The sequence below is a fragment of the Homo sapiens genome, chromosome 3, assembly GCF_000001405.40.
Source record: "Homo sapiens chromosome 3, GRCh38.p14 Primary Assembly".
Lineage (NCBI taxonomy): Eukaryota > Metazoa > Chordata > Mammalia > Primates > Hominidae > Homo > Homo sapiens.
The window spans coordinates 25,614,822-25,632,653 of NC_000003.12; the positions used below are offsets into that span (position 1 = coordinate 25,614,822).

At 33.1% G+C, this 17,832-nt stretch overlaps 1 protein-coding gene across 5 annotated transcripts in view, besides 1 other annotated feature; it reads right to left on the bottom strand.

Annotated features, from left to right (window-relative positions):
- TOP2B (DNA topoisomerase II beta) overlaps positions 1 to 17,832 on the bottom strand; it is a 67,003-nt gene that overhangs the window by 16,917 nt on the left and 32,254 nt on the right. For 4 of the 5 annotated variants that reach the window (XM_047448821.1, XM_011534057.4, NM_001068.3 and 1 more), the window contains exons 10-27: positions 17,625 to 17,762; positions 15,980 to 16,118; positions 15,491 to 15,648; positions 15,208 to 15,333; positions 14,214 to 14,324; positions 14,026 to 14,131; positions 12,366 to 12,475; positions 11,951 to 12,043; positions 11,739 to 11,853; positions 9,861 to 9,982; positions 9,476 to 9,624; positions 8,694 to 8,925; positions 5,861 to 5,995; positions 5,041 to 5,241; positions 3,833 to 4,028; positions 3,597 to 3,688; positions 610 to 765; positions 384 to 467 (exon numbers count right to left, since the gene is read on the bottom strand). In XM_047448821.1, the coding sequence (XP_047304777.1) occupies positions 384 to 467; positions 610 to 765; positions 3,597 to 3,688; positions 3,833 to 4,028; positions 5,041 to 5,241; positions 5,861 to 5,995; positions 8,694 to 8,925; positions 9,476 to 9,624; positions 9,861 to 9,982; positions 11,739 to 11,853; positions 11,951 to 12,043; positions 12,366 to 12,475; positions 14,026 to 14,131; positions 14,214 to 14,324; positions 15,208 to 15,333; positions 15,491 to 15,648; positions 15,980 to 16,118; positions 17,625 to 17,762 (2,463 nt within the window). Of the gene's footprint in view, positions 1 to 383; positions 468 to 609; positions 766 to 3,596; positions 3,689 to 3,832; positions 4,029 to 5,040; positions 5,242 to 5,860; positions 5,996 to 8,693; positions 8,926 to 9,475; positions 9,625 to 9,860; positions 9,983 to 11,738; positions 11,854 to 11,950; positions 12,044 to 12,365; positions 12,476 to 14,025; positions 14,132 to 14,213; positions 14,325 to 15,207; positions 15,334 to 15,490; positions 15,649 to 15,979; positions 16,119 to 17,624; positions 17,763 to 17,832 lie in introns of those variants that run through there. The other variant, XM_047448822.1, reaches the window with a different exon arrangement.
- Positions 2,911 to 2,914: a mitotic recombination region, noted in NCBI's record as "NUP98-TOP2B recombination region recombines with the NUP98 intron 13 (TOP2B) recombination sub-region of the nucleoporin 98kDa recombination region". NCBI's record gives the evidence for it as "EXISTENCE:nucleotide sequencing assay evidence [ECO:0000219][PMID:16166424]".

Sequence of the window (17,832 nt, forward strand, 5' to 3'; positions counted from 1 at the left end):
GAAATGTCTGTTATAAATGTAGAGACTATCATTCTACTCCTAAAATCAAAGTACTTACATTCAATTATACACACATATTAGCCTTACCTCTTTCCAGGAAAACATTAAACTGAATCAATTATTTAATCTAAAACTCAGTTAAAAATTTTTAACTAATTGAAAGCAGATTTAATTTATTCTAAATTTCAATTTCATAGCATTTAAATTCCTCCATACAAGAAGTTCTTTATAACTTCACATAACTAGAAGCTTAAGCCTAACTCAACTTATAAACATATTAACCTTCACAGAGTTAAAGAAAACTTTAAGATCACTTAAAAGAATTTCATTCTTGTTCATAAACATGACTTTTCCAAATAAATTTTAATAGAGACTTAACCTACATCCAGTTCTTCAACAAATGCCGCTAAATCCTCTTTCCAAAGATCTGAAGGAGATTTTCTTTTAAGATCATTGACCTCTCGCCCCTATAATAAAAAAGTACAGTTTAAACATTCAATAGTTTTAAAACATATGAAGGATAAATCAAAATACTTATTTTTGGAAAAAGAAAAAGATACAGATAACACTGAAATAGTTTCAAACTATTTAACCCACAAAAGTTCATACTTTTGCATCTCTCTGTTTAATCAGTTCTTCAACTTTTTCTTTAGTAAGAGACCACAGAGACATATTTAAAATATAATTAAAATCTGGGCCTGAAGGAGTTCCTGAATCGGAGGAACTATCATCATGCTGGTTTTGTGTTTCATCCTCTTCTGCTGCCTGTAAAAAATAACAAACTGTATATTAAAGTCTTGTATAGTATCAAATTAATGTTGAATTTTATTGAATAATTAGTTTAAAATTCTACAAGTGCTACACTATAAATGCTACATCTTCAGGATGGTGGGGTTATTTTGGATTACCTATAAAAATATATTTCCTTATAAAAAGTTTAAAATTTTCTAAAGACGCACAATAAGATCTTCAGAAGGAATGGTATACACTATCCCTATTTATCCAGGAATCTGATGAAAAATTAACTGATTTCCTCAGGTACTCAGTAACAAAATGAGAGGATACCACATTTTAAAGTTAAGAGAGTAGAATTAATGTTTTATCACTGCATCTTGTCAGATTTTTATACTGGTGAGTGAATGAACAATCTGAAATACAAAATAAATACCAGTTATGAAAATTATTTTACAGTTATAATAAATATGTTAAGGTACATTCACTCGCTGAGGGTGAATTCTTAATAAAAACTTCTCTAAAGCCAGAATATTCATGTCAGGACTCAGAGAAAGTCCACTTAAGAATTTAAGAGTTGGTGAGTTAGAGTAAGAATTTCGTCAGGGTTTTGCTGAAATTTTATTCATCAGGCCCTTGTCTATAGAAACAGCTGCAACAAAAAAATTATTTTGTGCTAATATTAAATTTCAAAATACAATGAATTTAATAAAAGTTATTTTAGGTGATATCACCTTTAAATTTTTTAAAATAACAATAGCCATTAAATAAAATTTTATCTAAGTTGTTTAATTTAAAATGACTGAGTTAACCATGACACTCCATAAAGCAAAAAGTTTACTTTTGGTAACCAAAAGAGGAAAAAAAAAAAAAAAGCTTTATAATTAAAATTTGTAAGCAAAACAATGTATATACACAAAGTACAGTTTACGTGTACTTCAGAAGTAAGATAAAAATTAAAACTGCAAAGCAAGATGCTTCATTATATAAACAAAAACTATAAATTTGATTAAGCCACATTAGCCAAATACGGAATGCTATTGTTGAGTTGATAGATGATTAATAAGTACCTAGATAACTTACAATAAATAATTCTACACTTTTGAAAAATTCTTCATGAAACAGCTTGTTTCTATGGAGTATTCAGGTTGTTAGACAACTATAAAAATATCACTAGGATACAACAAAATCCTGTTTAGACCCACATTTAGTGGGTCTAGTCTATTAGATCTAGGTTTTGACTACACCCAAAGTATTGTTAAGAAGTGTTCTATGAATATGTGTATCTATCACCGTTAACATAAATATGACTAAGAACACTTCCAGAAATTAAAAAAAAAAATAAACTTTGCAAGTTCTAATGACAAAATTCCATTATGCTTTACAAAAAACTTTAATCTTCTAATTAGCTACTTTATAATTCTCTTTTCTCCAACTCTGTATAATAGGACACTCTTGTAAGAGCAGTTCCTTTTGTTACCTGAACTCCCCAAAATGTACACATGGCCAAGATGCTGAAAAAATTCTGATGGTGGTAATGCAATAACTGAAATCAAGCTAGGCTTTACCCATAAATTCTACTTCCACCAGAAGGACATTCTGACACTGTAGAAATCTTTATCTTTTAAGACTAAGCATTAAAAATTCATCAGCTTACTAGTTACTTTTTTTAAAAAAAAACATATAGTTTAAACCAACGGTGATACAGAAAGGCAAAAGGCAAGTGTTGTAGAAACCATAATTTGGGGTTCAATAAAACACATTAAGAGGAAAACAAAGGGCTTCAATCATCTTAACTCTGAATGCGCCCATCTTGTCCTACCGAATTTTCTTCAAATAATGAATAAGCCTATTATCTTAATATGTAATTGCTATTCTATATAACTTAGTCTAATTTTACTCACTTTAATATATGACTTTTATTGACTTCAAACTGAAAAATGTAAGCAAAAGCAATATTTCAATGTAGTTTGATAAAAAATACAAAAACATTATGATTGAGAACTCAAGTACAGGGAAGTTTAAAGGTTCAAGTTATGTCACACAATTATAACTATGTTTTAAAGATGTTAATGTTATGGAATCATATATGCACAAAATAATCTAATACCCAAAAAATTAATCATTCAACTTTTCTTCCTCTTCTGTAATAAATTTCTGTTCTCAATCACAATGTTGTACTGTTGCTTAAATTTTTCTTTTAGTTATACAAAACATCAAAAAGCTAATTGAGGGGACTCTCAAAGCTTCAATATCCCATTCATTTAACTATTATTACTATTTTGTGATCTGCAATGGGCAACTTACTTAATAAAACATCAGACTTTTAATCTGAAGTTCCAGGGTTTAAATCTCTGGCTAAAAATCTAAGCATGAGGCAGAGCTTGGTGTTTGATAAATACTGTCTATAATAATTAACATTTTGTCTCTTGTCTTCCCAGTATTAACCAAAACCAGATCAAGTGAGTGGTGACTGGATGCCATACTGTGAACATAGGCTGATTCTGGGTGCAACCAGTCTGATTCCCAGGTAATATACATGTACCTCACAAAAACCACCACCACAACACCTTTTAATGGCAGACTCAGGAAAAAAGGTCAAGGAGACTGAGCTACCTTCTCACACCTGGAGTCATTTCTCCAGGCTCTGGTTGAGTCACACTGGCCAAGTGCTTTGTGGTGGGTGTGTACTATAAATTCCTGTACTTTATCTGTTCTGTGGATAAACAGAAGACTTTAGTCTCTAAATAGACAACTCAGCACCTTTAGTAGTACTAAATTTAAAATTTAGGGGTTGAATTTTTGTTTGTTTTGGAAGTTGCTTTTAAAAGCTTCTCTGAATGTCTTTTTCTGCAAATGATTACCTTTTCTTGTGCTTCTTTCCAGGCTTTCACTGGGTCAGATTCATAACCTCTCTGGACTAACATTTGAATCAAATCTTTCTTTGACCTATTCTCTATGTGAGGGAAAAATAAAGTTAGGATCAAGATAAGAGATTCAATTTGTATTTGCTTATATTCTACTGATAAAAATGTCTTCTATTAATAAAGTTTTTTTTCCATTTTAACTAATGTTCAAATTTTTAAAGGTTGTATCTTACCTATAGTAATTTTCCCTTGTATCTTCTCTAAAATGAAACGGGCTTGATTGTTAAGCTTTGTAGATTCTGCTCCCAACATTCCCACAAGCCACTCCTTACGTAAACCGTAATAACTTAATCGTAAATCAAAGAATTCTTTCAGAATGTCTTGCACAGTTTCATATTTCTTCAGACATCCCATATGATCAAAAAGTACCTAAGCAAAACACATATACTTTGCAGATCATATAGATCTGTACTGGTATTTTAACTTATATAACATCTACAATACTTAAAATAACCATAATATATAACCATAATGCATGTGTGTGAACACAGACTACCCCTAAAAACCATTAAACAGAACTAAGACTATTAAGCACATTTCTGTAAATATTTCTTTGGTGACTGCAAGCCAATAAATTCAATTCTCACAACAAAAGTATTTAGGAATAATATTGAAAGACAAAAATAGGCCTTAAAAAAAGGGCTCTTAAAGTAACCATAAAACCACCTACAAAAATGATTTTTCCCCAAACTGAAAACATACATATTCTATTGCTAAGTTTAAAAATGTTCAAGTTTTTCCTCCCCCATATATTCTGTGTATACGCATTTGTCCCCTTTCTCTCGCTTTCACATTTACTTGTGCTATAATCCAGTCACCCAAACTCCTCTCTATCCTTTTTCTTTCTTCCATCAGCCTTTCTCAGCGGATTATGGCACTTTTTCTCAGCCACTGTACTACTGCTGAACTTTTTTTACTTTTTTAGATCTAAAAGCTAATTTGGAATGGAACTTGAATCACACACTTAAAGTTTCTACCTTCCTCCCCAGTTGTATAAATAAAGATAAATGTGCAAGTTTAATAAAGCAGATTAGAGTTATGAGTACTCTACAGTTAAAATGCTAATAGAGATGGCCATAAAGTACACAAAGGCCCTGCAATAACCACTCTCATAACTTTTAGTCAATGTGTGTGAAGATGTGTGTATCCTGTGTTTTCAAGCCCAGATGCATAAACACAGAGTTGAGAATAAGGGTAGTGGACAATACTAGAAGAAAGAAATGTGCCCCTAGAATCTTCAGCAAATCTGCAGGATGGGAAAAAAAAAAAAAAAAAAATGCCTTCAGGCTTACTATAGCCACTCCCATCATGAAACCAATTATAATAATCCGACTTATACCATGCAAGAAAGATTAAATTAACAGTAAATCTAATAAATTACCATGGAATTACAAGTAAGAGTAGTTTGAAGTTTAAAAACTTTATGCAGTCCAGCAGCTTCTGCTTGTGCTAGTTTCTCTTCAGTCATTTTCACCACAAATTTCACAGTTGTGTCAGTATGATATTCTTTATAATCAGAAATTAATGCTGGTGTTTTATCTGTTCCATTTAGCATAGGTTCTAAAACCTGTTCTTTATATACCTATAAAGATTTAAAAATTAGTGATTCTTTTCATGACACACTCTCATGTTCTCATACTACAAGTCATACAGTCTTGAAAATTCTCAACTCTCATGGGGAATTAAAAAGGAAACCTCAATCTCTATCATCTCCTATCCAATCAGTATAGAAGGCAATACACAGGGATCTCGGTGGTGGGAAAAGACATAAGAAGTAATGGTGCTGACCCACTCATACTCTAAAGGGCAAGATAAAGGCTGAGTATGAAAAGGATGACATCAACTGGAACTGTCAAGAGGTGACATGCATACTTTTAGATTTGTAAAGCTGATGCTGACATGAATTTACTGACCATATTTACAAGAATTAAAAACACTGTCATATTCTACTCCTTTTATTTTAAATAAATACAAAGATAATAGTCTATAAAAGCCTTACCTAACATAAGTCATACTACGCTACTTAGATATAAATACTATTTAAATATTCAAAGCACAAATTCAACTGAAGGGTAAAAGAAGGTACAGGAATTTTTTAACACTACGCACGCTTAGGACCAACAACGGTGGAATCATCCTTACCAGAAAAAATTGCTTAATACACTGCCCTTCCCTCAGGCAGATCACATATTTACACTGACCTGTGTCCAAGTTCTAACTGGAAGCTCTGTAATTTCTACTGTGTTTCTGTCCACTACAAATATTTCACCACTGACTGCATACTGGTTTTGACCAAGTTCTTGAATCGTGCCTTTAAAGTTTTTGTAGTTTGGAAGCTGTAGAGAAAAAGGTAAATAGCATTGACTTCTCTCTTGAGTACCAGTACCATGAGTCTATGGTCTAACATTGACAGATTAACACAACTGAAACAGAATTTCTCATCCTCAATTGTCCCTTTCCAACTGATCAATTAAGCTTGAATTCATAGCTTCTGTTCATACAACCTGAACATCCTCCAATCTCAAAATGTTAGTATCATCTTTCCTAGTCTTCCTAGAACAGTACTTTCTTTCAGCCTACTTCCCCTACACCTACTTCTCTCCTAGATCAATATCCTTTAAATTCAAACTCCTTGGGCCTTACATTGAAAGCATTTCATAGTCTGGACCCAATCTGGCTTTCAATTTTTTCTCTAATGATTTGTCTTACAAAACCACTACTCTTCTCCCATATTTTGTTTGACTATTTTGAATATTCTCACTTTCACTCTATCCACAAGTCCTGACACATATTCAGGCCCAACCCCATTCCATTCATCATTCATCTACATAAATCTTACTCATCCTTCCCAACTGAATTACAAGTCCTCTCTCCCTCTTCTAAGTTTTTATTTGTTTTGAGACAGGGTCTCCACTTTGTCACCCAGGCTGGAGTGCCGTGGCACGATATCAGCTCACTGCAGCCTCAACCACCTGGGCTCAAAGGATCCTCCCACCTCAGCCTCCCAAGTAGCTGGGGTTACAGATGCGTGCCACCATGTCCAGCTAATTTTTGTATTTTTGTAGAGACAGGGTTTTGCCATGTTGCCCAGGCTGGTCTTCAACTCCTGAGCTAGTGATCTGCCCAGCTCAGCCTCCCAAAGTGCTGGGATTATAGACATGAGTCACTGCACCTGGCCTACTCTAAAATTCTTATTCGTTATTATCATTAAGAAATCGAGTATATAGGCCGGGCACAGTGGCTCATGCCTGTAATCCCAGCACTTTGGGAGGCCAAAGCAGGCGGATCACTTGAGGCCAGGAGTTCGAGACCAGCCTGGCCAACACAGTGAAACCCCGTCTCTACTAAAAATACAAAAATTAGACAGGCATGGTGGCGCACACCTGTGGCCCCATCTACTCAGGAGGCTGAGACAGCAGAATCACTTGAACCTGGGAGACAGAGGTTGCAGTGACCCAAGATCACACCACTGTACTCCAGCCTGGGTGACAGAGTGAGACTCTGTCTCAGAAAAAAAAAAAAAGAAAGAAAGAAATTGAGCATATAGCATAGGACATTTCTTCTGGCATACCAAGCAACTATCAATATCGTTTGTCACTGTTAAACTTCAAGCCTTGATGCTTTGATGTCTTGTCTTGACAACTGTTTAACTTTTCAAAGATAAAAACCATAGCTCTTTATCTCACCACTTAGCACAGTTTCATACACATAGTAGGCACATAAGAACCATGTATTGATCAAATACACTATCTTAACAATCTAAAATCCATTTAAAAATCCAAAACCATTTCAGTAAAACACTATCATTAAAAATTTGATGCTTATGTTAGAAATATTTTGAAGTACTTTGAAGTATTTAAGAGAAAAAGCAGAATATATGTCTTATTGCTAAAGAATAACTTTCACTTTAAAATACAAAAATGAAATAAAACTTGGAAAAATACATCAAAATATTGTCTCTATATTGTGGGTTTATGGATTTTTTTACTCTTTGCTTACCTATATTTTCTACAATAAACATTATCATTTTGGTAATAAAAATACACTTTTCTCCAGGTAATTTTAAATCATGGGGAGGAAGGAAGGACATTTTTCTTGGAGGAGGTCTGAGCAGAGTGAATGATACAAGAAAACAACAAACATAAAAAAAAAATGGGGATTTTTTTTTTTTTTTTTGGGAGACGGAGTCTCATTCTGTTCCCCAAGCTGGAGTACAGTGGCGCAATCTCGGCTCACCGCAACCTCCACCTCCTGGGTTCAAGCGATTCTCCTGCCTCTGCCTCCCAAGTAGCTGGGATTACAGGTGCCCTCCAGCACACCCGGCTAATTTTTGTATTTTTAGTAGAGACAGGGTTCTACCTGGTTTGGTCAGGCTGGCCTAGAACTCCTGACCTCAGGTGATCCACCCACCTCGGCCTCCAAAGTGCTGGGATTACAGGCGTGAGCCTGAGCAACACCTAATTTTTTTTGTATATTTAGTAGAGATGGAGTTTCCCCATGTTGGTCAGTCTGGTCTCGAACTCCTGACCTCAGGTGATCCATATGCCTTGGCCTCCCAAAGTGCTGGAATTACAGGTGTGAGCCACCACGCCCAGCCTTGGGGATATATTAAAATATATACAAGGTAGTTTGTTTTCTGTCTTTTTACAAATGGTACACTAATGAATACAATGTGTTTTTAAGCATCCTTACAAACTATTAAGCGGTAGTTTGAGAACAGAAACAAGGTTACACATAATTTTATCAGAAAAGGATTGTTTTCTAATAATATAGGGTTTAGAGGTTTGAAAACCTGGAATATGAGGTGTTTCTAAATTTAAATAAACAGTTTCTCCCCATGAAACTTACCTCCAAAACTCATTCCAAAGTTTATACTTTTTACTGTAGGCACATATCAAATTATACCCTAATTAGGTCTTTACGGTCTACAATATGTTCTAAAATAAAAATGTTCCATTACTTTTCTAAAATGACGGGAATTTGTAGTTTACACATTATCATTTGTTAAATAAATAATAAGTTCCAAATAATTACCATGGGATGAGGATCCAGGCCATCTAGCATTCGTCTGACATTGTTCACAATTTCCCTAGCATCATAGTTGGGTAGTTTACAAGCCCATCCAGTACCAATGCCCTCAGCACCATTTATTAAAACCATGGGAATTATAGGAATATACCACTCAGGCTCTACACGTTGATTATCATCATAAAGGAACTTAAGGAGGTTGTCATCCACAGCAGGAAAAAGTAGCCTTGCTAAAGTGCTAATGAAAACAAAAAGAAGCAAATGAAAAAATGTCATGGCTTTGGGAAAGAAAACTTTATACATAATTAAAAACTTCACACTGCAAAAACAAATCTTTTGAAGAGAATGCATTTTTAATAATTTTGATTACATCCGCTTAATAATAAAATTTGCCTAACTGTATTATTCAAATGCATCTTTCTCTCAGTTACAAGCCCAGAATAAAATAGTCCTATTTTACTTATGTACTTACCTACCTGATTTAATATTGATAACTTTTAAAGAATTTCCTATTACTCTAAATAAAGTACATAACCCATCTTCAGCCTAAAGAGTAAAGTTGGTGAGAAAAACATCCTTAATTCACTAGGACTGATTTCACCAACAATTCATAAAAATTAAGGTCAACAGACTTCATTCTATTTGTGGTCAAATAATTTGGAACATTCACCTTCTAAGTAGAATAACCAGATAATCACATCTCTCCACAGCTATAATTCCATCGAACATTTAGTTAGTTGGTTCCAAATCAAATCAAACTTTATACCATTATATCAGCAAATATTTACCTTAACATTGTGAAAATATAACGAGGGCTTGCAGCATCTTTGCCACCATGAAGCCGAGTTCCAAACTGACCAATAGGCTGAAGCAAGTTAATGTTGTTACTTCCCACAAAGTTCTGAGCCAAATTCACAATAGTCATCATCAATGCTTGCTATACAACAGAAGAAGGCAGAACATAACATTAATATTCTAAATTTTCTATAATTACTCCCCAACTTGAATTAAAATCCAAGTGAAGAATAAAGGCTTTAGAATCTCACTAATCTGTATATTCTCTTAATTCTTTTACATTTCCAAAGACTTTACTAAAGGAAAAATACTATGTGTAATTATCATTCTTCAAGACAATAATTACAGTTCTCAATTGATTCCAATCTTAATGCTTACTTCTCCATGATGATAAGCCGACATCTCAGCAACAGAGCCAGCCAACTGGGCAACTTTTACTTCACGTTTATCATTCCTCTTGAAACAGGTAAATAAAACTTTCCGCTGGCCAGGTTTAAAGCCTATTTTTAAAAGAGCTCTTTTAAAATGTTACTTCAAGATATAGTTGTAACAATTCAGGGGAATAAAGCAAAGATACAATTTGCTTTTCAAGAACACCAGTAAAATTGTTACTTGAGATTCTGTAACAAAGTGAGTACATACTAACACGTTTGTTTTGTTTGTTTGTTTTTTCCTAGAAAGCCATCTGCAGGTATATACTAAGATGTTTTTATGCCATCTCCATCTACTCCAAAAGTGAACTGCCAATTGAAAGACAACATTCTGGCCTTAAAGAATCACCTAGTGGTACCAAACTCCTTTAACAGTAGTTTCCAAACACTCAAACAACCAAAACGCCATTTGTAGCTAACTAAATTGCCAGCATGCCATCAAGGAGCCTGAAATCTATTCTAAGTATCCCACATCAGGAAAACCCTTATAAAAAGCGATTTATTGTGGTAGTGAAGAATAAAGGCTTTAGAATCTCACTAATCTGTATATTCTTCTCAACTTGGCCATTTACCATGTGACTAAGCAAATAACTAGTAAGTCTATGTCCTCATCCAAGTAATAGAAATAATTACTTTCTTAATATAGTTTTCATAAGGATTGCATGAAACAATGTGAGCAAATCACTCTGCTCCCTTACCATTCTTCTTGCTCTAGGCCAAGCTTGTCCAACCCGTGGCCCGTGGGCTGCATGTGGCCCAACACAAATTTGTCAGTTTTCTTAAAACATCATGAGGTTTTTTGTTTGTTTGTTTTTGCGATTATTTTTGTTTTTTGGTTTTTTTGCAATTATTTTTGTTTTTTGTTTGTTTTTGTTTTAAGCTCATCAGCTATCGTTAGTGTTAGTGTATTTTTACATGTGGCCCAAGACAATTCTTCCTCTTCCAATGTGGCCCAGGGAAGCCAAAAGGTTAGACACCCTGGCTCTAGGCCAATAAGCACAGTAACAATCTTTTCAGTATATGCTATCACTGTAATCATACTGGACCCAGAGTATGGTAAAAACATGAGGATGATAAAATATGGCAACTTCTTTAAGAATTTTGTAATCTAATTCTAGAGGCAAAATGAACAAAGGTAAAATAAGAGGTACATAATAATTGGTATAGAAGTTTAGGTATCTAAGACCAATTTAGAGTAGAATTGCTAGGAAGGCTTCATAGAAGAAAGGCGATTTGTGGCTAGAACTTGAGGGATAGGTAGAAACATCTGCTATTACCAGAAAAGCCAAGCAATACAAAGATCAACAAACTTCATAAAGGTTATGAGAAAAAAAAAAGTTCTAGATAGAAGATCAAAATCTGCTTCAACTAACGAGAAATAGTTTCTAAATTTTTTTCAAATTAGAAATAGTTCCTAAATTTTTTTCAAGTTAAGTTAAAGCATTAGGCTTTGGGTAATACAGAATAAAAGCTTTTTAAAATTTAATCTCTGATAAATATTTTAGAAATTATCAAAGTTCCATTTTACTTTTTTAGAAAATCTGCAGACAACTTGGGCAAAAGCTTTAAGACTTTTAAAGTTAATTTTCCTGAAAAACTCGGAAAAGGTTTAAAAGTTTCAAATTAAGGAATATTAAAGATTTCAGCACTATGAAAACATAAAACAAAAGCAAAATCAAAAAGGCCTTAAATTCCTCTGAATAAGCTCTTCATATACAAGATTTAAAGTAAGAATTTTAATATGTATCATAAGGATGGCTTAAAGTACATGAAATTAAACTATAGTAAATAACATTAAAAAATGAGGTTTTTAAATATTACTCACCATCAACAAGAGATGGTATAGATCTTTCATTGTCTGAGTTTGAGAAGAGAATCAATTCCTTGTTGATGAAATCATTATAAGTCAAATGCTTTGTTGCAGTACCATATAAAAATTGCTAAGAGAAAAGTTATATAGCAATATTATCATTATTACTGCATGAATTCTAGTCTCTCTCTCCTTCTTTCCCCAGGTCACCACTCTTTAAGACTAACCTCTGGTAAGCCATGTAGCCTACGCTGTCTCCGGTCTTCCATAAAATTTGTTAACCATTCTTTTCTGTCATCAATCTTCTTCTTACTAAATGCCTGAAAGATTCCAGGTAACGATTTTGCACATTAAAAATAAAATAAATTTTATTACAAAATTAAAATGTATAAGTGGCCAATAACTAATTCTTAATTTCTGGAAAATTAGGTTATTTTACAATATTTTAATCAAAAACACATTTAAACTAAGGTCTTTCAATTAAAGAAGTTTATACAAGCACAGCATCATCTGGGGGAAAAATTAAAATTAACTAGCTTGAGCATTCAAAAGAGACTTATCATAGGGAACCAGGACTGGGAGGAAAGGAATAGAAGGTAGGGGGATGGCTAACAAAAGCTTTTAAAAAATTAACTTAATTACCAAGGTAATGGCAGCATCATCTTCAGGACCAGCATATCTAAACAAGATGCGATGCCTTTCCATATCAGCAAAATATTCCTTTGCTTCTTTAGCTGTACTAGTACCCAATCCTGCACAATTTTAAAAATAAAAGTGAGTCATGAATATCAATGTCTGTTTAAAACCATCAAGTAAAAAGCTGGTGGAAAAGTTGTAATAGATGGATCAAGCTGGCAACACCTATACTAAGTGATCAATCTTAATAAGCAACTAAAGACAAAGTAGACATTAGATGCTTCCTGATGAAAGCACACAACGCTACCTATGAAATGTTTTTGCCAAACAAATGTAACCCAAATCTGATCACGCCTCTGATTTAACCATCAGTTAACAGAAAATAAGGGCAAAGGAAAATACTATATATTAAATGTAACTAGAGGAATATAATTAACAAAATCCAGAATGTGGAATATTACACAGAACAAACAACCCAACTTCTTTAACAAATAAATTACAAGGAAAAAATATAAAAAGAGAAATGCTATATTAATAAACTTATCAACCAAATGCAATGTGTGGACCTTACTTGGATCCTGACTTTGGAAAAAAACAAACAAACTCAGGCCAAGCATGGTGGCTCATGCCTGTAATCCCAGCACTTTGGGAGGCTGAGGTGGGCGGATCACTTAAGGCCGGGACTTCTAGACCACCCTGGCCAACACAGCAAAACCCCACCCATACTACAAATAGCCAGGCATAGTGGCACATGCCTGTAATCTCAGCTACTTGGGTGGCTGAAGCATGAGAATCACTTGAACACATGAGGAAGAGAGCCGAGATCCCACCACTGCACTCCAGCCTGGGCAACAGAGCAAGACTCTATCTCAAAAAAATAAAAACAATTAAAAAAAAACGAAATAAAAATAAAAATAAAAAACTCTAAAAATAAACAATTTTAATACAGTCCAGGGGAATTTTAACACTGGCTGGGTATTTAACATTATTTAAAAAAAAAAAAAAAAAAAGGGAGCCAGGCATGGTGGCTCACACCTGTAATCCCAATACTTTGGGAGGCCAAGGTGGGTGGATGGCTTGAACTCAGGAGTCCAAGACCAGCCTGGGCAACAAACCAAAACCCCATCTCTACAAAAATACAAAAATTAGCTGGGTGTGGTGGCACACACCTGTAGTCCCAGCTACTTGCGGGGGCTGAGGCAAGAGGATCATTTGAGCCCGGAAAGTCAAGGCGGCAGTGAGCTGTGTTCATGCTACTGCACTCCAGCCTGGGTGACAAAGCAAGACCCTGTCTCAACAATAGGATATTAAAGAAGGTTATGATAATGGTATTATGGGTTACTTAAAAAAATTCTTTCAGAAATACATACTGAAGTAGTTATAGGTGAAATACTAGACTATAATGTCTGGAAGTTTTTTCAAACTAATGGAGTGGCAATAAAGGAGGTTTACAGGAAACAAGACTAGCCATTGAAATGGTGATCCCATTCAATGAAATCTATTACACTATTCTACTTGCATACATTTTTCTATAACAATACTTTAAAATCAGTGATAGCTATTTTCGAAGTCTAAAATAGTCAAACTTTCAAGTCATCTTTTAGATTGCTTTCATAAGAATACATTTATATCAGTATTTAAAATCTAAGTATTTTAAAATACAAACCTTTATAGTACTTTATTTTCCAGGCTTTCTGGTTTTCTATATGTTTTTTCCATTCGTCAAATTCAGGAATACTGTAGAAGGAAAGTTCCTGCTTATTTTTGCTTGCCTTAAATTAATTAAAAAACAAAATTAGTTTTTCTGCTACCCTTTAAGACAACAATATAAAAATATATTAATGCAAAGAGTACCTTTACAATAGGAGTAATGAACTCTTCAAGAAAACCATGCTTCAAAAGTGATGGCCAATTGTGATGGATGAAATTAATAAGCAGGCCTTTTATGTGAGAACCATCTTGATCCTAAATAAATGTTAGTAAAGTAAAAAATGTTGTAATACTTTTATAAAATGATTACTTATATAAACAAATTTTAAAACGTGAATGCAAAAAACCAAAATTCTGAATTTTAGAAATGCATTTTACAAAAGCTATTAAGATGATCATACTAAATTTTTTAATACACAAATAAAGAATATAGTAGTAATAGACTGAATCTGTCATTATAAAAATATATTATCATTTTATCTGTTTTATAGTTTCCCCAGATTTCACTAAAAGAATGATTTAAGGATAGAAAATACATAAAATAAAACATGGTTATAATGCCACCTTAATGGGCAATGGTAGGGAAACCCAGGTAATACAGATATTCACAAGTCTTCCCTAGATAAAAAATTGGAAAATTTCTGCTTAAAACTATATATTAATAGCAGTTTTTTCAGTTGCAGATTTTCTCTACAAATACTTTAGAGTGCATAAGAGAAAACAGTTGAATGCATCTGAAATTCTTCCTTTTCAATTTTCTAGTTCTTTCTCGATTACCATCATTTTACTATTTAAGTCCTGGTATTTGTGCATTCCAAATCATGCCATCATGTATAAATATTAACCCTTATCATTAATCTTTCTTACTTGTTAATTCCATAATTTTGTTCCTACTTGTAGGTAGGCTGCTATAGTACCACACTGTATTATATTCTCCTTAGTTACCCCAAAAATCAGACAATGTAAAATGTGCTTCATAAAAATGTTTCCACTAAATGACGTGGTTTTTTCATTTTTTCCTCCTGATGTATAATCACTTTCAGTTATACCATCTTCGGGCAAGTCTCATAAAACAAATATTAAAGGGAGAATCTGAAGAAGACATGAATTTGAAATATGTGGTAACTTTAAAACCAACCTGATCGGTCATAATCATAATCTTTCCATAGCGTAAGGTTTTCAGAGATTCTGCATCATCGTAACTTTTCTTATATTGTAGACCAACTATTTTAATAATATTATTTATTTCAGCATTTTCCATGATCTGTTCAAAAAGGAAAAGCACTGAGAGTAGTTTGAAGTGTTGAAATATACGAGTCAGAAATTACATTTAAAAATTCGAGAAGTTTAGTAAAGTATTAGAAATGTCATATGTATGTGTGCATGTGTGTATACACATATATATACACACACATACATACCTGTTTATGAGAAGCTTCCCGTACATTAAGAATTTTGCCCCTGAGTGGAAAAACTCCGTATCTGTCTCGTCCAATCACACCTAATCCAGACACAGCCAGTGATTTGGCAGAGTCTCCCTCTGTTAATATCAGTGTACACTCCAGGGAATGTTTACCACCTGAGAGAAATTTAAAATTATACATAGTAAAAATTTCTCATACTTTCACTGATGAGAAAAATGAAGTCAGAAAATTAACATTAGAATGCTGACAGTGAAAGACTATAAAAGTTATTTTACATTATTGCTCAGTATAAATATTAAGTATATTTTATTAAATTCCTATCCCCTGAAAATTAGTAATATGTTGTGTATGTGATAATTTCAATGAAGTAAAATCATACTCTGAATGGAAAATCATAGTCTAACTATATGTAGAAAATAAAAAAATTCTGTAACTAAATAAAAGTGAAACTTAAATCAAAATCTTATTTAAAAATATCAATCTTACCAGCATCATTAGCATCATCCAGTTTGGGAATACCTTTGATTTTACTGTATTTTACTGATGAACACTTCTTATTCAGCTGAGTCTGAGCCTTAAATTTCACCCAGTTCAGGATACTTTCTACAATGCCACAATTAGAGGCCTAAAAATAAAAGAATAATGGTATACAAACAAGCTGAAAATTCATACATTTAGCTAAAATGTATAGGGCCTAATGCAAGACCTGGAATCTGTGCAATTTTAAGGTATTTTAGGGCAAAACAATAATGGTGATAAGCATCATGATACATGCTAATCAGCTTTTACTCAACTACTGTAAAATTAAAGCTAAAATATAAATACATGAAAAAGGATAACTTTTACATATGAGAAACATTCTATTATAATAAACTCCATGAGGAATATGCATTGCTCTTGTTACAAATTAATTTTATTAAAATTAACACAGTGAAAACAGATCCACACATGAACCTACTAGCCGGCAAATTCCAGACGTTGACATTTCTGATATCCTTCAATACAAAACGTGAGTCTTTAATTCACTATGACAAAAAGTATTAACCTAAAAGGAACATTAGGATAACCTTGGTAACTTATGAATAGACTTTTATTCTTTAAATAGCTTGGTAATAAAGATTTCAACATTACATATTGTTTGTACTCTGCAGTGAATCAATCTGTGGCAAGATGTTAACCCAGACAGAAAAAGGAAAAGAAAGTTAAGCATCTCCAACTCTAAGTCCTAAAAGTTTTTTTATCATCCTCGGTGATTTGATGTTAGGTGTATAAAACAGTTTTCTGGAATGTTTAAGACATAAACAAAAGAGGTGAACTGTGTTGTCAAATTTAAACTTAGTGCACCTAAAATGAAAAAGTATAAAATTTAAAATCAAATCACTTCATCAAGGAAACAATTGTTATGAGGACAGAAATTTGGGAAAGCATTAATATAGCATAATTTGTACTCAGAATTCATTAAGATTAGATCCAAAAGTACTATTTCTACAGGCCTTAAGTTAGAACCTAAAAAACAACTTTTGTTTTTGTTTCTGATAATCTACTTTTTGGAATTTGAGAAATACATTAGTTCTAGGGCAGTTATAGAGCATTTCCCCACCAAAATTCCAAAGAGGAGAGGCTGTGATTGATTCATCTCCATTATTTATTTGTGCTCTCACCTTATTTTAGAGAAGTTAAGGTAGCCTAAAAAAATTATGTGCAAAGCAAAGCAATTTAAGAACATGTAGAAAATAGTACATTTTGTTATACATGTTACCACAATTTTTAAACATGTATAAAGATAAGAATCAGTAGATCAAGTTGAAATGAGAGTAGAAAAGATGAAAGAGTTGCATAAGGATCTGGACATCTGTTAGGGGAAATCTGACCTTTACAATGGTCAATACAAAGCTAAAAATGCAATTAGTTACATAATTCCCTACTTTAGTTCTTGGCAAAACAATTGTTTTAGGAAACATTAAAGTCTACCCTTTAAAGTTATCAAATTAAGCATATTAGTTTGTAGTGCAAGCATGCTTATACCCACAGTTAATACGATGAAAGAAACTAATCACAAATAAAGTAAATCAAGAAAACTACCTAATCAACTCTTAATAACAACAATAAAAAAAATACAAGTTTTACTCACTGCTTTAAAAAATTTTTCTGACAGCTGGCATTTAGACCCAAAACTTTTGGGCTGCAGAGTCATGTTTTCCTTAGTCTGAGAATCAAAAGTTGGATTTTCAATAAGGCAATTAATAAAAACCCATATATGGTTTTTTACCTGTTGAAAACATACCCAAAAAAGTCAATATCAGAGCTGATATTTAGTAATTCAGTATATATATAATGCA